The 26,103-nt window shown below is 45.9% G+C and overlaps 1 protein-coding gene across 9 annotated transcripts in view, besides 3 other annotated features; it reads left to right on the top strand.

Annotated features, from left to right (window-relative positions):
* The window catches only part of PTPN3 (protein tyrosine phosphatase non-receptor type 3), a 162,727-nt gene that overhangs the window by 45,075 nt on the left and 91,549 nt on the right, over positions 1 to 26,103 (top strand). Inside the window, exons 2-3 of one of the 9 annotated variants that reach the window (XM_047423636.1) lie at positions 10,991 to 14,537; positions 17,174 to 17,377. The exons of 4 other annotated variants lie outside the window; for them this stretch is intronic. In XM_047423636.1, coding sequence (XP_047279592.1) covers positions 17,362 to 17,377 — 16 coding nt within the window. In that variant the 5' untranslated portion in view covers positions 10,991 to 14,537; positions 17,174 to 17,361. Of the gene's footprint in view, positions 1 to 8,955; positions 14,538 to 15,546; positions 15,814 to 17,173; positions 17,378 to 26,103 lie in introns of those variants that run through there. 4 more of the 9 variants (XM_017014955.2, XM_047423635.1, XM_047423634.1 and 1 more) reach the window with 4 other exon arrangements.
* Positions 15,617 to 15,761: an enhancer, noted in NCBI's record as "145 bp enhancer 98 fragment used in the MPRA reporter construct; PK_construct_99". NCBI's record gives its function as "activates an SV40 promoter by MPRA in HepG2 cells {active_cell/tissue: HepG2}" and the evidence as "EXISTENCE:reporter gene assay evidence [ECO:0000049][PMID:23512712]".
* Positions 15,683 to 15,696: a transcriptional cis regulatory region, noted in NCBI's record as "HNF1 motif; enhancer activity is reduced when this motif is scrambled". NCBI's record gives its function as "necessary for full MPRA enhancer 98 activity {active_cell/tissue: HepG2}" and the evidence as "EXISTENCE:site-directed mutagenesis evidence [ECO:0005528][PMID:23512712]".
* Positions 17,483 to 17,777: a silencer, noted in NCBI's record as "tiled region #2753; HepG2 Repressive DNase matched - State 5:Enh". NCBI's record gives its function as "represses a minimal TATA promoter and a strong SV40 promoter by Sharpr-MPRA in HepG2 cells {active_cell/tissue: HepG2}" and the evidence as "EXISTENCE:reporter gene assay evidence [ECO:0000049][PMID:27701403]".

The raw sequence follows: 26,103 nt of genomic DNA, 5'->3' as shown, positions 1-26,103 counted from the left end.
AACTGAGGCTCAGAGAGATGAAGTAACCACCAAAGAGCACAGTGTTTGTAAGCAGTGCAGCCGAGATTTGTCTTTTTGGTTTTTGTTTGTTTGTTTGTTTTTTAAATATAGAGAAAGGGTCTCGCCATGTTGCCAGGCTGGTCTTGAATTCCTCGGCTCAACTGATCTTCCTGCCTCAGCCTCTCAAAGTGCTGGAATCACAGGCGTGAACCACTGTGCCTGGCTGCAGCCAACATTTGAACCCAAGTCTGTGCCTAGACAAATCATCTGTTGTCAAAGTCAAATAAAATATAAAAACAGATGTTTCTCTAAATTTAAAACATTTTGCTTGGGAAGTAAGAATAATAATTTGGGAAATCTATACAGACTAGGTGGTCTTTGGTTTGGAAAACAAAGAGAATGTTGGGAGTTTTATTAGAATGAGAAATATTATGTATTGTTTTGAAAAAAGTCCATCGGCACTAGAGAAGCTCTTCGGGAGCTGGCAAGCTCTGATTGTTGCATGATGGTAGCAGATAAAACTAGTCTTAGGGTCACAGCAATTTGTTTCAGTAGTTATTAAATAAAACTGGTTTTAGGTTATAACAGGCAGTTTTAGCAGCCACGCTTGCAGAGAATTACATTTTTGGAGCAATGTTATGTGCCCTGAGTATTTTTCCCCTGGCCTCTCAACTCTGATTTAGTTGGGCATTACAATAATGACCCAAATTGTATAATCAACTTCCACCCTGTAAAATGAGGATCATAATTGCACCTATTCCCTTTAAGTTGACTGTTGTCAATGAGCTAATGTGGAAAACTAAGGCAAAACTTGGCATAGAAAAGGGGTCCCTCACTTTGTGGTCAGACCCCTGACCCTCCAGACAAGTGCTTTGATCTGTGTTCAGTGCTGAGAGTCGCTGTGGGTGAGTGAAGGTCCCTCCTCAGCCAGGACCACAGGTCCCGGTTCTCAGGACTGAAGGGATATTCCAAGAGGGAGCATCCAGGACTGTGCAGGGGCCATGGCTGCCTGAATGCTGTGCTGATGAGGGTCCCCTGGCGTAGGAGTGGGGTTGGAGACCTGGCCCATGCATGTCACCTCCCTCAGCCACATCAGCTCAAGGGCTAGCCCAGAGGTTCTCGGTGAGGGAGGCAGCAACCAGCTCCATCAGCTGTTTTTTGACCGCCAGCCACCATTGGGCCTGGGGAGGGGAGGTTGGCCTCTGAGCTCAGTCTTCCCCACTGGCTCCCCCGAGTCCCCTCCCCTGCTCTGGTTATCAAATGCATTCATGGTTCTTGTAGAAAATAAAGTGTCAGGGAACACAAGAAAAATTATGCATGATGCTTCTCTGAAAGCAGCTGGTCCACTGTCAGCACTGCCATGATCTGCACATGCCCTCTCCTGCTTCCAGTGGATTCTCTACTCCACAGACGGGGGAGTCTTCCATACACTCCTATTTTTCTCAAAATGAAGACAAAGCTGATCTCTCAGCATCTCCTGCAGGCCCTATGTTCATGCTCTTTGAGCCCTCACCTCACCGTGCTCCTTCCTGCTGCAGGGACTGCAAGAGCCTGGGACCTTCTCCCCCTCCCCACTGATTACTTCATCCTGTGGGTCTCAGCTCCATGATTGCAGAGCCTTTGCTCACCTTCCTGACTTGAGTTAAATTGTTGCTATAAATGTTCATGCCACCAGATCTCTCTCCATTATAGCACTTTTCCTAGTGGCAATTTTGCAGTTAATTAATGTAATTATTTGTATTAGTACCTGTCTCCCGGCTACACTGTAAGCTGTGTGAAGGCAGGGTCTCTTTTTTAAAAAAACTTTTTCTAAGTTTTATTTTTTTTTCTTTTAATGTTTTATTTTGATACAATTCAGACCCATAGGAAGGTTGTAAGAATAAATCAAAGAAGTCCCATAAATTCTTCACCCAGATTCCCCAAACATTACCATTTTATTCTTTTTATTTTATCCCTGTGTACATATATATCTATCCTGAACCATTTGAGGATTATTTATCAATGCCTCCTTTCCCCCTACATATATTTCCTAAAAGCGATGATATTCCGTAACTACAATACAAATTTTAGAATCAATAAATTAATAGTGATACAACATTGTTTAATCTATAAACCTCAAGTTTTATATACTTTTTTTTTTTTTTTTGAGAGAGAGTGTCCCTCACTCTGCCACCCAGGCTGGAGTGCAGTGGTGTGATCTCAGTTCACTGCAACCTCCGCCTCCTGGATTCAAGCAATTATCCTGTCTCAGCCTCCCAAGTAGCTGGGATTCCAGGCGTGTGCCACCATGCCCGGCTAATGTTTGTATTTTTTGTGGTGACAGGGTTTCACCATGTTGGATGCTGGTCTCGAACTCCTGACCTCAAGTGATCTGCCTGTCTCAGCCTCCCAAAGTACTGGGATACAGGCCCGAGCCACTGCGCCCGGCCTAGATGTTAGGTTTTGCCAGTTGTCTTAGTGATGTCCTTTTTTATAGCAAAAAAAAAAAAACTCTTATAAATGGGTTGCGTACGGTTGTCATGTCTCGTTAGTTTCCTTTAAACTAAGACAGTTCCCCAATTGTTCTTGGTCCTTCAGGACCTTGACTTTTTTTGTTGTTGTTGTTCCAAGATGGAGTCTCGCTCTGTCGCCCAGGCTGGAGTGCAGTGGCTCAGTCTCAGCTCACTGCAGCATCCGACTCCTGGGTTCAAGCAATTCTCCTGCCTCAGCCTCCTGAGTAGCTGGGATTACAGGCATGTGCCACCACGCCCGGCTAATTTTTTGTATTTTTAGTAGAGACGGGATTTCTCCGTGTTGGTCAGGCTGGTCTCCAACTCCCGACCTCAGGTGATCCGCCCACCTCGGCCTCCCAAAGTGCTGGGATTACAGGCGTGAGCCACCATGCCCAGCCAGACCTTGACGTTTTTGGAAAGTACAAGCCAATTATTTTGTAGAATGCCCCTCACATTGAGTCTGTTTTAACTCACCATTTTGTCCCCAGTGCCAAGCACAGTCCCTGGACCATCAAATGCACTCAGTAAATATTTGTTGAATGAGGAGAGGGAGAGATGGAAGGAGGTGCAAGGGGAAAAGTCAGCAGGTTTTCTGCTTTCTTCCAGCCCCACGCCTTTCCCTGCTGAGTGATGTGGGGTTTTTTTTGTTTTGTTTTTGTTTTGTTTTTTTTGAGATGGAGTCTTGCTCTGTCACCCAGGCTAGAGTGCAGTGGCGCGATCTCGGCTCACTGCAACCTCTGCCTCCTGGGTTCAAGTGATTCTCCTGCCTCAACCTCCCAAGTAACTGAGATTACAGGTGTCCACGACCACGCCCAGCTAATTTTTTGTATTTTTAATAGAGATGAGGTTTTGCCATGTTGGCCAGGCTGGTCTAGAACTCCTGACCTCAAGTGATCCACCTACCTCGGCCTCCCAAAGTGCTGGGATTATAGGCATGAGCCACCCCACCCGGCCTGGATGTTGTTATTTAGTTGCAGTCATACTGTATACAGGTTTGAATCCTGCTATTTTTATAACAAAGCTTTCCCCAAAAAAGAGAGGCTTCCTGAGAAGATAGTGAGCCTGCTGTCCTTGCAGATATACAAGCAGAAGCCAGATGATGGTTTGGCAGGGATACTGGAGAGGCAAATGGAATGTTTGATGAGGGGTGAGACTCATCAGGCTGGGCGTCCCTGCTAATCATGGGTAGACTTCTCTAACTGCAGCACTGACTTCACAGGCCTAGGCCCCCAAGAACAGTGCAACTAGAATTTATCATCCCAACCAGAACAATTTGAGAATAAAAAGGGGTCCTATTAATAATTGCACATGACTGACGGGTCTAAGCCGGGACTGCCCTAGGTAAATCCGGACGTGTGGTCACGTCCGGATTTAAGAGTGACTTCGAGGTTGAGATCAGTGCAGGGTGAGCCAGCATGGAAAACCCTCTAGCACTAGGAATCTTCTACCTGGATAAAGACAAAACTAACCTCTGCATGGCCTGCAGGCCTGATGTTTGTGGCTTTGGTCCCCACACCTCTGTGGTCCCACCTCCAGTAGGATGCCACTCCCAGCTTTGTGCCTGCCACACCGGCCTTTTGTCAGCTCTCACCTCACTATGGTACCTGTCTGCCACAAGGACTGGCAGAGTCTGGAACGTCACTCACATACCCTGGCTGGATGGAGGAGCAGGGACAGAGTTTATGATAGATGGACAGGGAGATGAACAAGCCAGCTGTGCTTCCCACTGACCAATTTCTAATAGAATTTAAGAGCCAGGGTGTGTAAGCAAAGAAGGGCAGGAGGCGGGAGTCACCCTAGACCTTATCTTCTTTCCTCTAGTGCTCACACTTCCACCTCTTCTTCCTGCACCAACGCCCACATCCCTGTTCCAGCCCTAGTTCTGAGATGATGACTAAGTCACTGACCTTTGGCAAAGGCAGGGAAGCAGGTGGCATTGGGGACCCAGGCAGAAGAGGATGGGCATTGGATGGACAGTAGATGCAGACAGGGACTTGGATGCAGAGAAACCAGGCAGGAAACCAGCATCTAGGGATCCCAGTAACAAGGTCACTACAGGGCCATTTATCAGGAAGTCTAGATTTGTAATATCAAGTGACCAGACACTCGGTCAAGGGGTCAGGCTCTGGGATCCATACAGTCTGGTTCTTTAACTTATTTTCTGCCTAGAAGAAAATACAAACCTTGCCTTCCTGGATTACAAATTATTATAGGATGAAAATGTGAAGATAATGGAGCTATTTTCTGGGAAGCATCCCAGTCATGTGAACTTTAAGAACACTGTCCAGTGCAGTCGTGTTTTTATTACTCTAGGCATCAGCAGCTTTAATGGAAAAGCCAGTTAGTAAAGGAATGTTCCGGTTCCTAGAATGCAAGATACTAGTACTGCTGAATGTTGGAAAGATTTTCTGGTTAACTGTGTTATTAGATTTTACTGCTTAAAAATGTACTTTCAGCCTGGTGCGGTGGCTCATGCCTGTAATCCTAGCACTTTGGGAGGCAGAGGCGGGTGGATCACCTGAGGTCAGGAGTTCGAGACCAGACTGGCCAACGTGGCAAAACCCCGCCTCTACTAAAAATACAAAAAATTACACAGTGCTGGTGGGTGCCTGTAGTCGCAGCTACTCCGGAGGCTGAGGCAGGAGAATCACTTGAACCTGGGGTGTGGGGGCAGAGGTTGCAGTGAGCCAGATCATGCCACTTCACTCCAGCCTGGGCAAAAGAGCGAGATTCCATCTCAAAAAAAAAAAAAAAAAAAAAGTACTTCCCTCCTCCCCCCGACCCCACACAGCTGCTTAAAAGCATTTCGTTTGGGGTCACTTTTTACAGGACAGAGCATGTCACACAGTGTCAGAACTGAAAGTGACCTCAGAAAAACCTTTTCCGGCTCCCTCTTTTCTGGATGGAGAAACCGAGGCTCTGCAAGGGATGTAACATACTCAAGGGCACATAGTCAATGGCAGAGTAGGAACTGGTACCCATGTCTCAGAATTTCCAGCCCCCAGATCTTGGGTGTGTTTTCTACATCTCATCCAAGGAAGTTTATCAGATGGGCCATGTATTTTTATTATTTTGTTAATACCTTTTGGCATTTCTCTGACTATAGAAATAAGTTGTATTGGCATTGAAGCAGTTAGGCATTTCTTGCTGAGTTTCTCTATGTAGAAGTTGCTAGGCTGTCTTTTTCTTCTTTTCGTTTTCATGTAGAAAAGATGATATATACCTTCCATTGAATTTCCATATCCTGTAGCAGTGTTTCTCAAACTATAGCACATCAGAATCACCTGGAAGGCTGGAAGGCTGTTTAAAAGAGGCTGTTAGGCCCCACCCCCAGAGCGTGTGATTCTCTTGGTCTGAATCAGAGCCTCTGGTGAGGCCGGAAGGTTTGCATTTCTAACAAGCTCTCTGGTGATGCCACTCATTCGGACGCCAGGGACTGTCCTTTGAGGTCCGCTGCCCAGGGTTTCATGACACTTTTAGATAATATGCTCTGCGCTTTGCGGCCAGGGGGGCCCTCCCTGCTCTTGCCACAGTGGCCAGGGACTGCTCACTTGTTAAGACCAGAGGCAGGTTCTCATATCTCAGCCCATTTGGTCAGAGAAATTCCTCTCTGTTCCAGGGCTTCTGTGATGCTCCTCTCCCCTCCTACCTTCCACACCTTGGCTCTTCCTCTGCTGCCCTTTATCCTCTGATCTTACTGTCCTGCAGGCCTTTTCAGGTAAACTCAGCTGGTTCTATCAGCAGGGGCTCACAGGTCTGTGTCTCCGGCCTGATCATCTCTGGGTATATTAGTCCATTCTCACGCTGCTAATAAAGACATACCCAAGACTGCGTTATTTATAAAGAAAAGGAGTTTAATTGACTCACAGTTCCGCAAGGCTGGGGAGGCCTTGGGAAACTTACAATCATGGCGGAAGGGGAAGCAAACACAACCTCCTTCACACAGCAGCAGCAAGGAGAAGTGCAGAGCAAAAGGGGGAAAAGCCCCTTATAAAACCATCAGATCTCGTGAGAACTCACTATCACAAGAACAGCAGCATGGGGGTAACTGCCCCCATGATTCAGTTACCTCCCACCTGTTCCCTCCCATGACATGTGAGGATTATGGGAACTACAACTCAGTGAGATTTGTGTGGGGACACAACCAAACCATATCACTGGGCATTTCCAATCCTGTGTATATCACATCTGCACAACTCCTCATGAGTGCCCCCAGGCCCCTCCTCTGCATTTCTGAAACAGAGCTCATCACCTTCTTTCTTAAAAATGCCCTCTCCACTAGTCCTCTCCACATAGTCTTCCTGCTTAGAAACCCAAGGTCACTCTTCACTTGTCCCCCATAACCTGCCCTGGACAAGCCTGTCCACCACACCTCAGAAATCCCTTCTCCAGCCCACTCCCCTTTTCCACTCCACCCAAACTGAGTTCTCTCGCTTCTCCCATTTGCCTCTTTTGCTTACTGTCACAAATAGGCCCCTTGCGCCTGTACCTCCTTCACATAGCTACCAGAAAAACGTTCCCTTAAAAAGCACAGAAGATCACCTCATTCTGTGCAGGCTCCATCTGGCCTTGCTTTTCCCCATCTTTTCTCCAACCCTGCAAAATGTATGCTATAAGCCAGGGCTTCCCAAGTTTTCATGTTAAAATGCAAATACATACTCAGCAGGTTTGGGCTGGGTCCTGTACTCTGCCTTTCCAGCACCGTCCCAGGTGATGCCAGGATGGGGTCCGTAAGCCACCACATGTTGAGTGGCTGGACTCTAGGGGAGATCTGTGTTTCACAGAGTCCTGCAGACCTGTCTTCAGTCTGTTCATACTGCAAGAATTTCCAAGTTCTGTGTTGTCATTGTAATGTTTTCTGTTGTATGTAAAGTTAACCTTAAATGTTTTCAATCGTAAACTTAGATTTGCTGTTGCAGTGGTTATTTGCTATTGAAAGAATTTTCAAAGACCAGGAAAGGCTTCAGTTTTCTTCAGAGTTACTAAATAGGTCCAGGTGAATAGGTGTATGGGAGTCGGGGGTGGATCTTGAGAATGTTTTTCCTTTAAAGAGGTACACACTGCAAAGGGGTTCCCTCTCGTGAGCTGCTCCAGGACAGAGGCTCTCCCGTACTCAGTCTTCTCAGGATGGTGGTGGAAGGGGAAGGAGAAGAGTCTGGTTTCCGTAGGAGGAGATGAGTGTGGAAACTGATGATTCCGTCAGGAAAGACTGGGCGGGGAAGGGGAGCTCTCCTGGGGAAGGTGCTGCCAGTCACAGGAGAAGAGGGCGAGGATCTGGGGGCTGGATCATATATGACTCTTTTTATTTTTACTTTTTATTTTTATTTATTTATTTATTTTTTTCTTGAGACGTAGTCTCTCTCTGTTGCCCAGGCTGGAGTGCAGTGGCGCAATCTCGGCTCACTGCAAGCTCCGCCTCCCAGGTTCACGCCGTTCTCCTGCCTCAGCCTCCCGCGTAGCTGGGACTGCAGGCGCCCACCACCACGCCCAGCTAATTTTTTTTGTATTTTTAGTAGAGACGGGGTTTCACCTGTTAGCCAGGATGGTCTCGATCTCCTGACCTCGTGATCCACCCGCCTCGGCCTCCCAAAGTGCTGGGATTACAGGCGTGAGCCACCGCGCCCGGCCGACTTTTTATTTTTTTTTAAGACAGAGTCTCACTCTATCACCCAAGCTAGCTCACTGCAACCTCCATCTCCCAGGTTCAAGCGATCTGCCCACCTCAGCCTCCCAAGTAGCTGGGATTACAGATGCACACCACCACGTCTGGCTACTTTTTGTATTTTTAGTAGAGATGGGGTCTCACCATGTTGCCCAGACTAGTCTTGCACTCCTGGACTCAAGTAATCCACCCACCTTGGCCTCCAAGGTGCTGGGATTACAGGTGTGAGCCACTGCACCTGGCCTTATATGACTCTTGATAAGGCTTTGCTCTTGAGGAGCCAGCTGGGGAAACCACTGGTAGGCATGCCTGGGAGCCAGGCTTTGTCCTAGCGCAGGATGGGGGGTCATAGAGGGCTGAGGACTGCGTGAGGATGAGCAGTCAGGAAGTAGAGCCATGTGCACCTGGGACAATCAGGATCTTGCCACAGCAGGAGGGTCAGAGAAGCAAGTCCCAGGTAGATGTGGGGTGAGGGAATGGGATGGATATCAAACAAGGGTGCTGCTGACTTTGACCAGCCTGCTCCAGAAACCTCACTACCCTCCTGTCGCCTCTGAAGTCCAGGCACCTCAGTCCACCACTGAAGAGTTTTTCAGGATCTGGCCTCTGCCTCCTCTCCCATGTGTTTGTTCTCCACAACTTTTGCCCCTCAATTCTAGCTCCTAGCCAAGTGGCTGTTCCTCACTTCAGATTCAGATGTCCATCCTCAGCTCCAAGTTTCCACAGAGGTGGCTCGGCCAGGCTGCTGTGCTCAGTGTTAGCTCTCAGCACAGGTGGTGAGCCTGGGACCATCACCGGGCCCCCACTCCCTCACTCCAGGGCCCTGCTCGAGCCTCCTGAGTTTCGGTCTCCACCTCTCCACACTGGAATGCCAGTGGTGTCTCCACCTCACAAGGTCGTGTGATGATCCCGTGGTGACACAGCAGCATGCTGAGTACTCAGGCAGTACTGGCTCAGCTGTCTGGACAGAGGGACTGCTGTGGGACATGTGTCCACAGCTTGAGGTGGAGAGAGCTGTGGTTGGTGTGCGCCACCCAGGGCAGGGTGGGGCTCAGGCAATTCTGCCTGAGGTGGACACTGCAGAGGTTGGCTTTAGTTCACTGCGTAGATGTCAAAGGCACCAAAAGATGGCAGCTCGCGACAGAGTGAAGAGGAGGAAGTTGGAATTGGAGTGGAGAACGCAGCCTGTCACACTTTATACAAAATGATTCAGATTCTGTAGGTCAGGGGTGAGGCCTGAGACTGCATTTCTAACAGGCACTCAGTGATGCTGAAGTCACTGGTCCAGAGACTGCACTTTGAGCGGCATTCATCCAGAACATGATTAATGATGGGGAGCCTTGTGGAGGAGAAGGTAGGGAAAAAACACGCACAGCTTAACGTATACCCAGCTTTCTGCCTGGCTGCTTGGAGACACCTCAAAGGGGCAGGTGTTTCCAGGCGTCTGGGGTCTGTCGGGTTCTGTTGGAATCAGATTGTGGGTGATGATGGAGACTGATCGTAAGAGCCCGGTGAGAGCTTTGGGAGACGTATGGAGTGATTTGATTTTGTTGCTTGATATCTCATCCCTCACAGTCTGGCTTCACAGTTATATCCTCCTTAGAAGGCATCGCTTTCTGCCGGAGGCTGAGCCATGGTCACACCCTGGAAGGTCCTCTGTCTTAGCACTCCCCACATGGAAAGCTGTGATTTCTGCATCCCTCTCTCTCTGATTGATTTGTGAGTTCCCGGAGAGCTAGGAACTGAGACAGCCTCTTAACCTTGTACCCCAGCACCTGCCTCACAGCTGGTGTTAGTGAGAGGGGTGGATACAGGTTTTGAAGGAAGAATGAGTAAAGCCTGTGATCAAAAGGGAGTAGGAGAGCCCAGCACCGAGCTGGGGCACTGGAGCCTGTCGCTGTGGACAGGAGGCCCAGCTATGGCATTAGCCAGGCCTTTGGTGAAATTGCCAGGAACATGGTCTAAAGGGTACTCGCATATTGGGCGTCAGCTCTGAGGAGCGAGGGCTGGGCTGTGAGTTCTCTGAAGGTGTGGAGGGCTCCATGGGGGAATGGCAGTTTCAGCCAAGAAGCTATCATGTTGATCTGGGAGCCAAGAGCAAACCTACTTTTCTTCTGCTGCCTTCAGGAAAGGACAGGTGCCCAGATTTATGCAGACTGGGGATCAAGACTTTTCTCCCTGTGCATCAGGGCATGGATAGCAGCTCTTCCTGAGGCTGAGTAGAAGCAGCAGATAGGGCTCCAACACCGGGCAGTGTCTAGAGCAGCCCACAGCCTTAGCACCTGCGAGTGCTGACGAGGACCCTGTGGGTTAATGTCAGTTTCATTTTCCTGAGGAGGAAATGGAATCTCAGTGAGGTTCAGTAACTTGTCCAAAGCCACAGATCTGGGAAGTGGAGGAGGCAGCCCAGCACTGGAGCTGGTTTCTGGGGGAGGAGTGGGTCCAGGTATGGATTAAAAGGCCAGAGCATTGCAGAGGTGGTAGGGCAGGGCAGACAGTGGATAGTGGGAGGGAACCCAGGAAGAGGAAGCAGGGTTGGGGATGCAGAAATGGGACAGGAGGCAGCAGAGAGTCAGAGGACGGAGATTTAAGCAGTTTAACACCCTAGCACCAATAAAGCATTAGGTGACAGCATTTAAAACAAAAAAAATTAGATCAGTTTGACTTTCTTCTGACTCATGATTGCTCATCATAGAAAATAACAGAAAAGTTGAAAGAATAGAAAAACTAACACATGTGGGGTTTTTTTGTCTTTCAGATTCCTTTGTTTTAATTAGTTGCGGTTATCCCGTAGATACAACTTTATAACAAGCCTCTTAATATTCTAATCACACAGACATCCTGTGGCTGTTTTGTGGCTTACTTAACTGGCCGTCCGAAATTGGCAAGTAGCTTTTTTGTTTGTAATTTTCAGTGTTATAAATGTTGCTGGGAGGAAAATCTCTGCAACTAAAACTTTTTTTCATGTCTGAATATATCCTGACAGCAGGTTCCTAGAAATGGAATTACTTAGTCAGACTGCCTTCCAGCCCCATTGGAATGGTATGCTGTGTTAGCGCTGACACAAGCCTTCTAAAAGTGCAGGTGTAATCCCTGCGCGCATTAGTTGTTCATTCATTCATTTGTGCATTTCACACACATTTCTTAAGCGCCTATGGGCAGAGGCTCCATTTTCTATGGCCTGATCAGCAGGGGAGCAGCTGCCAGCATCTTGGACCTGACCGAAAGGCGGGGGAGTTTCTGACTGTACACAATGTCCCAGCCCTCCCTGTCTTTGTCACAGGCCCAGGAGCGCTGGACAGCCTATGGGTCCAGAAGTAAACTTGGGTGCCTCTGTGGCTACAGGGTCCAGGCAGTGCCCACCCATCTGCCTTCCCCTCTTGTGACACTTAGTGACATGCTACACACTGAGTATGGGGTTCCCAATTTTATCAATTTATTCATGCATTCCATAGATACTTAGTGCCTCATGTGCACTGGACACTGTTCTAGATGCCATGGAGATGGCAGTTCACTACTAAAATCCCTGCCTTTAAGGAACTTACATTTAAGGAGAAATCTAAAGTAGGGTGAGAGGGAGAAGGAGTGATCAGGGAAGGCCTCACTGATGAGGTAAAATTTAAGCAGGCACATGAAGAAACTGAGTGAGAGAGCCAGGTGCATATCTAAGGGAAGGGTGTTCAAGGAGAGGGAACAGCACGTGCAAACACCCAAGGTTGGAACAAGCTTGGCACCACCTGGGAACAGCCAGAGAAGCATGAGACCCTGGTGGAGCAGAATGAGATCTAGGACTCAGGGTTCATTTCCCCATCCCCTTTGGAGATTTTAGAACCAGAGGGCCACCCCTCCTCTGTGAAGCAGTTCAAACTAACCTCATGTATTTCTCTTGCTTATCTATAGTTGGCCATCACTGAGACCTGTGTTCGGTGGGCTCTGGCTTTGGAAGTCCCTGCCATGCCCTGCCCTGCCCTTGGGTTTCCTTATCTGTGCACTGAGGGACTTGAACCAGGAGACTGGCAAGGGTACATTGGGCTTTCCTCTGTCTTGTCCAGTTAGGTCTGTGAGTTAGATCTTGGGTAATTTTTAGGTTAATATTAGGAGTGTGTAAATGCCGTTGTTGATATTTAATTCTTAATATGTTTAGCCTATTAGATTTCCTTTGTTATGAAAGAGTCTCCCAGCCAGCTGTGGGCAGCAGTCATAAGAAGTGAGTGGAGGGATAAACCTAGTGGTTTATCCATCAACCATCCAACCATGCATCCATGCATCCATCCATCCATCCATCCATCCATCCATTCATCCCACAGTGAATTATTGAGCACCTGTTGGGTACCAGCCACTGGGCAGGCTGCCTGTGCGGCAGTGGTGAGATTTTAAAGACTCAGACCCAGCCTTTTTGTGTAGGGATGTTAGCTCTGCCAGAAGATCGTGCTGGTGAAGGACTCCACTCAGCAAGACCAGAGCAGCTAACACATCATACCATATACAAAAATTCACTCAAAATGGATCAATGACCTTAATAAAAGACCCTAAAGCCATAAAACTCCTAGAAGAAAACATAGGGGTAAACCTTCACAACCTTGAATTTGGCAATGAATTCTTGGATATGACACTAAAAATGCAAGTAACAAAAGAAAAATAAATTGGGACTTCATGAAAATTAAAGCTTTTTTGCATCCAAAGACATCATCAAGAAAGTGAAAAGGCAACCTATGGAATGAGAGAATAGGCCAGGCGCAGTGGCTCCCACTTGTGATCCCAGCACCTTGGGAGACTGAGGCAGGCAGATCATTGAGTCTAGGAGTTCAAGATGAGCCTGGGCAACATGGTGAAACCCCGTCTCTACAAAAAATACAAAAATTAGCCAGGTGTGGTGTGTGCCTGTAGTCCCAGCTACTAAGGAGACTGAGGCTGGAGGATCACTTGGGAGACACAGGTTACACTGAGCCAAGATGGTGCTACTGCCCTCCAGCCTGGGTGACAGAGCGAGACCCTGAAAGTCAACAGCTCACACTAACACAAAACAAATTTTAAAAATGGGCAGAAGACTTGAATAGACATTTCTCTAAAGATGCACAAATTGCCAGTAAACACATGAAAAGATGCTCAGCATCATTAGTCATTACGGAAAATGTAAAGTAAAGCCACAATGAGACACCACTGCACACCTACTAGAATGGTTATGATCAAAAACAGGAAACTAACAAGTATTAGCAAGGATGTGGAGGAATAGTAACCCTCTTATATTGTGGTGGGAATGTAAAATGGTGCAGCCTCTGTAGAAAACAATCTGATTATTCCCCAAAAAGCTGTACATAATAGGGCCAGGCACAGAGGCTCAGGCCTGTAATCCCAGCACTTTGGGAGGGTGTATCGCTTGAGCTCAGGAGTTTGAGACCAGCCTGGGCAACAGGGCGAAACCCAGTCTACCAAAAGTACAAAAGCTTAGCTGGGCGTGGTGGCACACACTTGTAGTCCCAGCTACTAGGGAAGCTGAGATGGGAAGATCCATTGAGCCTGGGAGGCGGAGGAGGCTGCAGTAAGCTGAGATGGTGCCTTTGCACTCCAGCCTGGGCAACAGAGGAAGACTGTGTCTCAAAAAAATTTTAAAAAGCTATAGATAGAACTACCATGTGACCCAGCAATCCTACTCCTACGTATATACCTGAAAGAATTGAAAGTGGACTCGGACAGATACTTGTATGCTGAAATGATAAAATTTAAGCATTGCAACACCATTCACAATAGCCAGAAGGCAGAAACAACCCAAATGTCCAATGACAGATGAATTGATAAACAAAATGGAATATCATTCAGTCATAAAAAGAAATAAAGTTCTGATACATGCTAAAATATGGAGGAACCTTAAAAACATGCTAAGTGAAATAAGCCAGACTCAAATAGACAAATACTATGTGGTTCCACTGATGTATCTAGACTAGGCAAATTCGTAGAGGCAGAAAGTAGATTAGAGGTGGCCAGGAGTTGGAGGAGGGGTGAATGGGGAGTTATTGCCTAATGGGTACAGAGTTTCTGTTTGGGATGATGAAAAATTTCTGGAAATAGTGGTAATGTTTGCACAACATTGTGAATATAATTAAAGCCACTGAATTGTACACTTAAAAATGGCTAAAATGGCAAGCGTTAGGTCCTATATATTTTACAATTAAAAAAAAAAAAAACGCTTGTTTACCGGAGATTTAAAAGAACAGAAAAAAAGAAAAGAAAAAGAAAAGACCAGAAGAGGTAGTGGGAGGAGCACGTCTTTGGCAGGAGCCACCGGTTTGGATTCTGCCCTGCCGCTGGGTCACCTCAGAAACACATGTGGTAACCTCATGGGCGAAGCCTGGTCCCCTCTTTTGATGTGAGAGTCCAGTAAGATGGTGAGTGTGGGCTCTCTCCTGGGTCATGGGAGTTGCTCAGGGAATGGCTTCCCATCCCCTTTAATTTCATCTTTTCCATTGTAAAAGATTGTTCTACCTGGTAGAAAAGACAGAACACAGTTAACTTGGCGATTTTGCGCAAATCATCATCAGTTACCTTGCTCATGTTTAGCCATCCTCCTCTAGGTGGTGGCCCAGCCCCTGTCTGTCATCTCGTTCCTCCTTTCTTTGGTGTTTTTGCCCTAACTCAGGGCTCTTCGGGACCCCCACTTCCTTGGCATTGGTGCCTGTCCTTGGTCACATGCTTCCTCTTCCTTTTCTGGGTTTACTGTGGATTCTTTCTGACATCTGAGCTCTGCTAGTGAGAAGTCATCTGAACACCCAGCCACAGTTATGTACACCCACGTGGTGGAATATCGTAGAGTCATAACAGAAGGGGTCAGGGAAGTGTTTGAAATACCTGGACGAATGTTGGATAGTGATCATGAGAAAGAGTGGAATATATGATTGCATAGACATTACAAGTTCAACTTTTTAAAAAACACAAACAAAATTGTTGGTTGGCTTGTTTTGTTCAACCTGAGCACATCAGAGTCCACGCCCTTTGTAGCCACTGGTCTGAGCCGCCCTCTCCTTCCCCTCCAAGGTTCACTACCATCTGTGGTCAGATCCCCCTTTTTCACAGCCACCCAGGGTTATTTCTTGCTACCTGAGCCTCTCTCCTGGCAGGTTGAAAGAAGCTCAGGGTTCAGACACCGTGAGGCTGTCCTGGATCCTCCAGAGATCCAGGCCCCTGCTACACCCAGGTTGCCGCCCCCTTGTTTATCAGTTACTCCTGCCCCATGACTGTCCTCATGAGATCCTTGGCTCAGAGCCAGTGCATGTGCCCCGAAAGGTGAGTGAGCAAGAGTCTTATGGAGCTCTAGTTTGCTGAGAAGCTCAGCTTCCCATGGGCCGGAAGGAGTCCTGGCAGTTCCGAGATCCCTGGAGGCAGGTGCAGTGGGAGGAGAGACTGACTGGGGCCAGGGCTGGCCACCTCACTGAGGTCCGGAAGGAGAGCTGGTCATCAGGTAGGAGCGGCCCCAGGCCAAACCCAGAGCCTGGCCTCAGGAAATGAGATGGCCTGTTTCTGCCCTCCCGCTGCTGCTAATAATTAACCCAGGGACGGCTGCCTGTGAGGCTGGAAGGGCCTTTAGACATCATGTGACACACTCCAGTCCAGGCCTTTTGCAAAAGTGGGAGGAAGTCATTTACTACATTTCCTCAATTCTGAAAGGTGCGTTGGCCACACTTTAATGCTTCTGAAATCACCGTGACCTTCACAGTCACAGGGTACCTTGGATGTACTGTTTCTTTAAAATAACTTTGCTGAAACACCTGTTACATCAGGTGTGTCATCTTAGAGCAGAGGTAATATGGTGATAAATACCCAGATCATTACTCAAGTTTCTAATGTTGCAGAGTTAATTAGGGGGCAAGAAGGTTTTCTGGGCCATTTCCCTTGTAAGAGGAAATTTACCAACATGAGAGCCTCGGGGAGTGTTTATAAAAGATTATCTCAAAAGGGTAAGAACATACCTTATTTAGTAAGTTACAGAGACAATAGTGACTAAGTGTGGGGCTCCGTTTACCACCTCCAGTGAATCACCTGTAATTCGTCTGCCTCCCAGTCACGTGGATCAGTGGACTCAGAGTGGGTGGTGTGTGATGCCCCCACCTGAGCTTGGGATCATCACCTTGTTTGAAGTCTGCCTGTGTGACCTGTGCGTGGTTCTGAGTCGAGTCTCCCAATCTTGTAAAATGGTTAACAGCAGTGCTACCTTCCAGGCCCAGTCAAAATCAATCAGTCAGGAGTGAGGGGTGTAAAAATACTTGGAAATCGCTGAAGCCCTGTAGCACAGGAAGCCCAGAAACAGGAAAGGGAATGGCCCAGGGACTGAGAAAGAAGGCAGGTGGGAAGGGCAAGAATGCATAGGCAGCATTCACAGAGCTGGTGTTGAGTGGCTGTGGCGGGCCAGGCCCTGTGCTGCGTTAAGAATGAAATCTCTGCTCCCTATAGTTATTCACAGGGGAGGAAACTAAGACAAAACATTAATTTGTTCAGGTTCATGTCCACTTGGGAGTGGCAGAGCAGAGACTAGAACCCAGGTCTGGCTATTCCTTCAAACCTCCAGTGGACTCTGGCCTGGCAAGACCCCTCCTGTCCCAGAGTACTCCCAAGCAAAGATCTTCTTGGTCCAGTCACGGACCACTCTTGAAATCAGTGAGAGGGTTGTCTTTATCTCTGTATTCTCAGCTCCCAGCATGTGGAAGGCCTCAGTACAGATAAATGCATCAACAGCAGCAATGACATATATTATTTCCTTTTTTTCTTTACCTTTTATTTTTTAGTAGCAATTATACATTCCTTTTGTTTACTTTTTACTGTTTTTTTTTTTAAGGTTTACAACTTGTTATTTTGATAAACATATACATTTCATTCATTTGTTCCTAAATGTTGTTCTCCTGATTTGCATTTTGGCATGCCTTTTAGAAGTCTTTTTAAAGAGTTTCATTAATTTGCTGACCCCATTTTATCAGGGTACAAAGCCCTGGAAATCTGAATAGGCTGCATAAAAATATTTTATGGTTTCTAGGGGCACACTGGCAACCAGCAGGGTTACCGAACCTAATATAACCTGAGATGGCCCCCTGGATTAAAACCTTACAGGCAGAGGATTTTAAAGCTGGAAAAAGCTTTAGAGGGCTCTAACCTGGGAAACCGAGCCAGAGAAAAGTGAGTTAGTGACTTCGCGAGTCACCTGGCTGATCAGAGACAAATAAGATGATGCTTCGTGGGGGTAAGTGGAGAGTATTTTTCTCTGTTTCCTTGAGATAAAATTATGGCGAGGGACACTGGTGGTGAGGATTGGGTTTCTCTGGCCGGACTACCACTGGCTTCAGACTCCTTGGCGGGAACAGAGGCTGGCAGGATGGTCCGGTTGTGAGATTCCAGCTTCTTGGCTGGTATGCACTGTGATTAGCACATCTCAAACCTTTCAAAGTGACTTTAGCTGTTTTCTTTTCTGAAGGCTTCTGCTGCTTTTGGCTGTAAAGGGGTGGGGGCCAGAGCCTAAGATAGAAATATCGTGGACTGACACCCAAATGGGCGTGTCTGTGCCTGAGAGCAAATATTAGCAGAGTATTTTTGTAAGGTTTATGCAACTTGATTCATGTCCCTGTGGAGTAAATGTATTCCATCCTGATTTCCAGTCTGTCTGGGGCCTAGTGGAACTACTCGGAGGGAAAATGAAATGAGATCAGTAGCTTAATTTTAGGTAGAAACAGCTAAATGTAAAACATATTCCATTGTCTATTTTGTGAGCTTTACATATTTTTGCTTGTTATAGTCCCTCATCTCCTATTTCACGGTTTGATGGGCCATTTCAGTTTTTTCCAAGAATGAGGTATTCATTTAGAATTATTTCCGATGAGAAAGTATACATGAAAGGAAATTCAGTTTTGAACAATACCACATTGAGGCTTACATGTACAGAAACTTAACCTTGGAATTGTTGAAACAGAAGTCCTGAAAGCCCAGAGTTCATCTATCCCACTCTTCACTGTCAGTCTGCCCTCTGAGGCCTTCTCACCAAGGGTCTCATCCAGCTTCTCTGCTTGATTACCTCTAGTGATGAGGAGCTCACTCTCTTACAGGGCACTTCCTTCCATATTTGTGCAGGTTTAACTGTTTAAAAGCTCCTTCGTCTGTTGAAGAGAAATGTGTTTCTTTCATCTTCTACCCATTGAACCTTTGGGACCTAAAAAAATCAGTCTAATTATAGTAGCTAGGTGCAAGTTAATTTGCATACACATTATCTCCAGTGATTAAAACAACCTTAGGGAAATCCTTCCTCTTTTATAGGTAGGGAAACTGAGTCTCAGAGAGGGTAAGCAGTCTCTCCGAAGTTAATCTCAGTAAGTGATGAAGCTGAGGTCCCCCCACAGCTGTCTGATTCTGATGCTGGTAACTTTCCCACAGCCTTACATTGTATCCTAATTCCTCTTCTGTGTGACAGCCCCTTGGATTTTTGAAGTACCTAATCTTATCCGCCCTGAGATTTCGCTAAGATTTCAGTTATTCCTCAGGAACGCCTGCTAAATCAGTTTCTGTGGAGTTCCCATACCATGCGTGCATTTTCCCCCCCAACCTTTGCACATGGGTTTTGCAGTGTCTGGAATGCTGCAGCTTCTCCCTGGCCAATACCCCTTATCCTGCAAGACTCCCCATGAAATTTCTGTGAACCGGTCCTGACACCCACCCCACCCTGGTGGATCCAGAGCCCTCCTTGTGTTCCTCCAGCACCCTGGGGCTTCCTCTCCCCTAGAACTTGATACTGCCCACTCCCTGGCCTGGCGCAGAGACGGCACAGAGTAAATGAACATCGAGAGAGTAAATGATGCGGAACTCCTTTGCCAAAGTAGCAACCAAGGAGGCTAAAAGTAATTGTAAACAAGATTGACAAGCCCATGAAATCGTAGTCAGATGCAGGTTGCTTGGAGGCTGTCGTGGGGACAGCTTGTCTGGGGTAAGTCCTGATGTCATTTTCCTCAGTATGACTTGGTTAAAACCCCCCCATGGGCTGGCATTTGCCCTATTTTTCTCCCAGGAGGCAGGTTTGCTGGCTCTTAAGTGTCTGGGTTCACCAAGGTGGCGCGCAGTGGGGAAAGGTTACCAGTCACTGTTCAGTGACTACCTGGGCAAAACCAAATCTTATTTCTTTGCAACCCACCCAAGACATCCACATGGGTACCGAGAAGCAACCCAGGGAAAGTTGAGACCTGTGGAATTTGGGGGTGTGCTGTTTGACACTGCATCATAATCAGATTTCCTAAAACTCTTTAAAAAAAAAAAAAAGAACTTCTAACACAATCTAATTTTTAAAAAACTCAGGAGGATGGCGTTGTAAGTCAGGAGAGAGTGGTCACCTGTGGAAGGGAGTGTCTGGAAGAGGACATGAGGGGCTCCTGCTGGGCTCCTGGGGAGCACTATATTTAGCATTTGTACTTTTTCTCTCTGTGATACTTCAAGAAAAAGGTTTTTCTTTAAATTGAATGGCTTCATTTAATATACTTAGCATGAGTTTTCTGCCGGCTTCAAGGCAAACTTTGTGTTTTAGTTACTAGCTTCTCATCACAACACTGAAAACCCAGCTCATGGCACTTAAGAGATTGGTTTCTCTTTATAGCAACATTACCTCTTTCCCGAAACTGCCCGCGGCTCCCGCAGCATTCTTTATCTTGCCCTTCAGGGAGCTTAAAACTACTACTTCTTACCCTGCCAGGATCAAGTATAACTTTTATTTTGTTAGTTTTGCAAGTGTCATGGTGTCGAACCTATAAATAAAACCTATAAATAAACCCCAACTCCATAATAAGAAAACTATTTGACATTTTGAAGTCGTATGAAAAGAAGGCCAGTAATTACAGATCTCAGTTTGAATACAACGGGTCCTACAAATGACTCCACCCGGGCTTCCCAGGGGCTTCAGTCAGAGAGCCACTCCCCGAACAAATTACAGGGTCTGTAGAACAAATGATTTGATCCCAAAATTGTACTTTTGGAGTATCAGGATTGACAACTGCAAGATGATTCGACGGAGTATTGTGCTGTATTATTAAAGTGACCTGTGTGAGTGTGTCTCCCTTGTGCTAGAGAAAAATCTGAAGACTCGAGTATTAAATATGTTCATAAATCATTTTTTCATAAAAGGTATTAACACATTCATAAATACCCAAATTTTTAAAAAGTTTTGTTCACCAGCACTGGCATTGTCAACTGTGTTATTCATTAGCAGACTTTATGCTTTAAAAATGTTATTTAAAAATTAATGTTTTAGTATATAGGTTCAGGATAAATTTGTTTCTTGGCTTTAACGTTGAATTAGCCATATGAGGTATTCCTCCCTGAATAAGGACGTTTGTTTTTCTAGTTTAGCAAGTATTCAGTCACGATTATGTTTACATTAAAACCTAATTTTAAAAATAAGTTAGTGTATTTAGTGTATTTATCTTTGTATTGTTATGTAGTATTGTACTTTGGAAAATTTAAAAGCCAAGAAAGCAGGCTAAAAATGGCAGAAGGTAGTGTTGATCAATTTATGAAATTATAGAGTTATGAGGAAAAAGATTAAATTCCAGGTACCAGTTGTACAGTAATTTTGTTATCAACTGTACTTATTTTAAAACTAATAAAGGGAAATGTATAGGAAAGTGTTTTCTAAGATATTTGGGCATTTCACAAATGAAAACTGAAATGACTAATTTTTAATTAGTTGGGCTGAATTTCATTAAGAACGTTCGCAAAAAAATAAAAATGATGGTGAAAACAGAAAATATTAAATAACATTTTTAAAAAGAACATTTTCAAAGCCTGATAAATAGCACAAAATGTATGCATCTTGTTTCATTGCTGCTGCTTTAAGAAAGTGCTGGTTGACTCAACGGGTTTCTGAGGAAGGGTGTGTGCATTGTGTGGCCTTTTATAATTTGGACAAATTGTTAAGCATTGGTGTTGGTGAATGATGTGAACTCATTTGAGTGAACAAGCCAAGACATCTGGTTATGCAATATCAAGTGATACAGTCCTTTTTGAATGATGGCAGTTTTCCTGTTGCTTTCTTCTCTATTTAGACAACAGTACTAATCCCAGCACTGACATATAGACTGGAAAATCTGTTACTTCATCAACAATGATTTAGGAAGCACTTCTCCCAGACCGAGTGATGGGACAGCTGCCAAGCTACAGAAACTCTATTTAGCTCTGGGAGGTGACTTGTAATGTAGACAGTAAAACTGACATAAGGATGCCCACCTAACAAAGACCCTGGCTGTAAGCATAGACAGGCAGAACCAAAAGGAACTCTGAAGATTGTCTGGTGGAAGATTTTCCACCGTGTGGCTCTCAGACCAGCTGCACCATTGCCATGAGGGTCAGGGGGTATTTATTTAAAATGCAACTTCAAGCTGGGTGCGTTGGTATACATTTGTAGTCCCAGCTTCTTAGGATGCCTGAGGCAGGAGGATTGCTTGAGCCCAGGAGTTTGAGGCCAGCCTGGGCAACATAATGAGTACCCTGTCTCTTTAAAAAAAAAAAAAGTGCCTTCCATATGACAAGTAAAACCAGGCATGATCCTGATTTGGATTGTGGATCGGGGAAGATAAATAAAGGACATCTTTGGAACAATTTGCAAAATTTTAGTATGGACTGGATATTAGATAAGTGCTTATCAGTTAAATTTCTTCAGTGTGATAATTGTACTGTGGTTATGAAATGCCCTTATTAGGGGGAGATACATGCTAAAATATTTCGAGATAAAGGGGCATGATCTCTGCAGCAAGTGGTTCAGAGAAAAGCCTGGTGTGTCTGTGTGTGTATACAGATGAGAGACATGGGAAATAAAGTGTATGTGGGCCGGGCACGATGGCTCACGCCTGTAATCCCAGCACTTTGGGAGGCCAAGGCAGGCAAATCACCTGAGGTCAGGAGTTCAAGACCAGCCTAGGCCAACATGGTGAAACACTGTCTCTACTAAAAATACAAAAATTAGTTGGGCGTGGTGGCACAGGCCTGTAGCCCCAGCTACTCGGGAGGCTGAGGCACAAGAATTGCTTCAGCCCAGGAGACGGAGGTTGCAGTGAGCTGAGATTGCGCCACTGCACTCCAGCCTGGGCAAGAGTGAGACTCCATCTCAAAAAAAAAAAAAAAGATGCGTATGTACCAAAATGTTAACAATTGAATCCAGGGCAAAAGGGTTACACAGGAGTTTGTTTTTCTTGCAACTTTTCTATAAGTCCAGAAAATTATTTTTTGTTTTACAATGCAGTTTCCTGGGCCCTTACTGAACCAAAATCTCTGTGGATGGTAACCAAGAATCTGCATTTTTAACAAGTCCCCAGATGATTCTTGTGTACGCTAGTTTTAAGTCACTGGTTAAAAAGAAAGTCTCATTTCAGTCACTATTTTTTTAATATCTTGATCAGTGAGCAGACATTCTTAGTTTGAGCTCATCTTAGTGCTTAATAAATGATAAATAAATCCCCACCCAAGTGTTTGTAAATTTTTTTTTTTTTTTGGATGAGGTCTCGCTCTGTTGCCCAGGCTGCAGAGCAGTGGTGCGGTCATAGCTCCCTGCAGCCTTGACCTCCTGGGCTCAAGCGATTCTCCCACCTCAGCCTCCCAAATACCTAGGACTACAGACAGGTGCCACCACATGCAGCTAATTTTTTTTTTTTTTTGTAGATATGATGGTCTCACTAGTAAATTTTATCTTTAGAAGGGAATACCCCACTTACTTCAGAGGAGTTTAAGGAACAGTTAGGCCTGGCTTTAAAACAGACTGGAATGAGAAGCTGTCCTCTTTGAGGTACCAACAGCAGTAGGAAAGCATGGTTTCTGTCTTCCTAAAGGCGTGAGCAATGCGAGTGATTGTTGCTTGTTGGGGCCATGGTTGGCCCCACAAAGAACTCGATACCACATAATGCAACCCAGCATCTGTGTGTCTACAGTGACGAGAGAGAACAACGCTGGTACTATATTAGCTGCTAAATGAATGAAGCATGTGTCTGCAATACGTTAAATATTGGCATTTGACGAGAAGTGCACTTAATTTGATGAATCATTGTCTAGGGTGGCTGATAGTACATGTACTTTTCCATGCTAGAAATGCCCTTCTCTAGATCGGTCATCTGTTGGAGCTCAGAAATAGCTAAAAGGAAAAAAAAAAAGTAGAGGGAAGAAGGCGCTTTCCTGAGTTCATAGGGAAGAATTGGGAAAAGGGGACTGCGCCACGGAGAAGGGCTTCTATACTGCAAAAAGGATTTTTGAAATAAGCTGAACTGGAAGTGATAAGCAAGAAAGAGCAGAGCTGTCCCTGTTTCCCTTGAATGCCAGCGTAGGAGGTGGCATGTCTTCCTCTGATCGCCACTAGGTGGTGGCATTGGGCTAGGCCAGCTTGATGTAGGTTGATTACTGTAGTGAGCCACCCATGATTCATTTATACAGGTTACTTACAAATTGGGTATTTATAAATCAAGACTGTTTTCTTATTCTCCTCCTTTTTTTCAACGGAACTCATATTCTTCAATTAGAGGCCTAAGTCCCTTACTTTAAAAAATAAGAATATGGAATACTTTGCCATTTATTTATTTGAGATAAGAGTCTCACTCTGTCGCTCAGGCTGGAGTGCAATGGCGCGATCTTGGCTCATTGCAATCTCTGCTTCCCGGGTTCGAGCGATTTTCCTGACTCAGCCTCCCAAGTAGCTGAGATAACAGGCGTGCCCCACCACACCCAGCTAATTTTTGTATTTTTAGTAGAGACGGGGTTTCACCATGTTGGCCAGGCTGGTATCACACTCCTGACCTCAGGTGATCTGCCCACCTGGGCCTCCCAAAGTGCTGGGAATACAGGCGTGAGCCACTGCGCCGGCCTCTTTATTTAAAATTATAATAGTGGAGTTGGGTTTGCTCTGTCATTTGCATGTGTTCCTCTCCCTTCTTTGTGTCTATGGTTCATTGGCTTGCGAAAGAACAGTTTCCCAGATCCGAATGTAGACAGACCCTTTGGAAATAAAGCGGCGGCATTACCCTTTCGTTGTCTCAGGCTTCAGGGCAGCCAGGGAGGAGCCCTAGTAGCAGCCCTGTTACCCAACCCTGACTCCCAGGGCTCTGGTGTCTCATGGGCCCAGGGTGTGGCAATTTGTGCCAGCATGCTACTGCTTCTGGTTCCCCTGAGTTTGTAGAGCAGCTCAAAGATGTATCACATATCTATCACAACTATCTTTTAACTCTAGCAAGCTGTCTTTATTAAAGTGGATACATAAAACTTTAAGAAATGGAACATTCATATATCTGTAAGTCGTTTGAAATCAGGATTGCCCTACAAAATCTGGAATCTGTAGACAGCACCCAATGGCATTAGAAGTTTAACGTTAATAAAATGCCTTTCATTGAGTGCCTGGTATGTGTCCCACATGTGCTAGGCACTTTCCATGTGCAACTCTAACTCTCATGGTCTTTATTGTGCCCCTACTGTTTACAAAGTGAGGTGTTGCCTCTTGCTGTATTTTCCAAGTATAATCTTTGATTAAAAACTGTATTCACAGCCGGGCGCGGTGGCTCACGCCTGTAATCCCAGCACTTTGGGAGGCCGAGGTGGGCGGATCACGAGGTCAGGAGATCGAGACCATCCTGGCTAACATGGTGAAACCCTGTCTCTACTAAAAATACAAAAAATTAGCCGGGCGTGGTGGCGGGCGCCTGTAGTCCCACCTGCTCAGGAGGCTGAGGCAGGAGAATGGCGTGAACCCGGGAGGAGGAGCTTGCAGTGAGCCGAGATCACGCCACTGTACTCCAGCCTGGGGGACAGAGCAAGACTCTGTCTCAAAAAAACAAACAAACAAACAAAAAAAAAAACTGTATCCACAATAGAGCTTCGTTTGCTATTGTTTAAAACATTCTAAAGCTATAATGGATTTTTAAACTCATGCAAAGAACAAGCTTGGCTTCCATATTATAAAATGCATCAGCAGCAGCTGTAATCATTTGTGTCAGAGAGGCCAGCATGTTCCTGGTTGGGTTGTGGCTTTGTTTAGAATTAAGAGGCTTATAAAGGAAGCCATAGAAACCCTGAGTTCCCCAATTGCTGTAGTACAGGAAACAGGGCAGTTAGTCAGCATCCATTGTCCCGACCAGATTGTTTAAGATGTAATTTCAAGACAATCTGAAAATACCACATGGCTCAATTATTGGGTTATTCAACATCAGGCTCATTCTTACCAAGGTTTGCTTTAGGAACCATTGTAGGAAGATTTCTGCAGCTTTCATAAAATACCTATTTATGACATTGTCATTAGGTTTCAAGCCCTTTATGTAACAATCAGAGATGGGTGTGAGAAAGGGAAGTCTGTCTCTCCTGGGTTGCTGGTGGGCTTTATTTTGTCAGCTAGCTGTGTGACTGTGCTGGACAGCATCATTGCTAACCACGGTGAAATGAATAAGTCCCAGCGGCACCCACGCCAGCACGAGCAGGAGCTGCTCAGGTGAAGTCTGGAAATCAGTGTCCACCATTGGAGCATCAGCCCATGTGACTTTCATTTGGAGGCACCTGTTTCAAATCTTAGTTTTTTTCTGCCTGGGGTCATTGTGTGACTATCTCTGCTTTAGCTGTTCCACAGAACAACTGCCCACCTCTTATCACACACAGTGAATTCATCCACATAGTGCATGGCTTAGATTCCGCAGAGCCTGTATTCTAAGGCCATCCATCCAAAACACACCCTGAGGTTCCCTGGAAACCCACTCCTTTAGTCCTCGTCTTCCTGGCTGTTACTTTGAGGGCTCCCAAAGGGAATGTGATCCTGCGCCACACCTGAGGATGCTGAATCACCACTGGGGGTGCGGGGACAGGCAGGTTTTAAAAGCTCCTCAGGTGATTCTGATGTGCACCTCCCACTAAAACCAACTTGAAATGGTTCTATTGTGTCTTTTGAAAAAAAAAAATGTAACCCACCTGAGATTCTTAGAC

The sequence above is a fragment of the Homo sapiens genome, chromosome 9 (assembly GCF_000001405.40).
Source record: "Homo sapiens chromosome 9, GRCh38.p14 Primary Assembly".
Classification (NCBI taxonomy): domain Eukaryota; kingdom Metazoa; phylum Chordata; class Mammalia; order Primates; family Hominidae; genus Homo; species Homo sapiens.
Note: the sequence above shows the minus strand (reverse complement) of the source record. Positions and strands in the feature narration are given on the sequence as shown.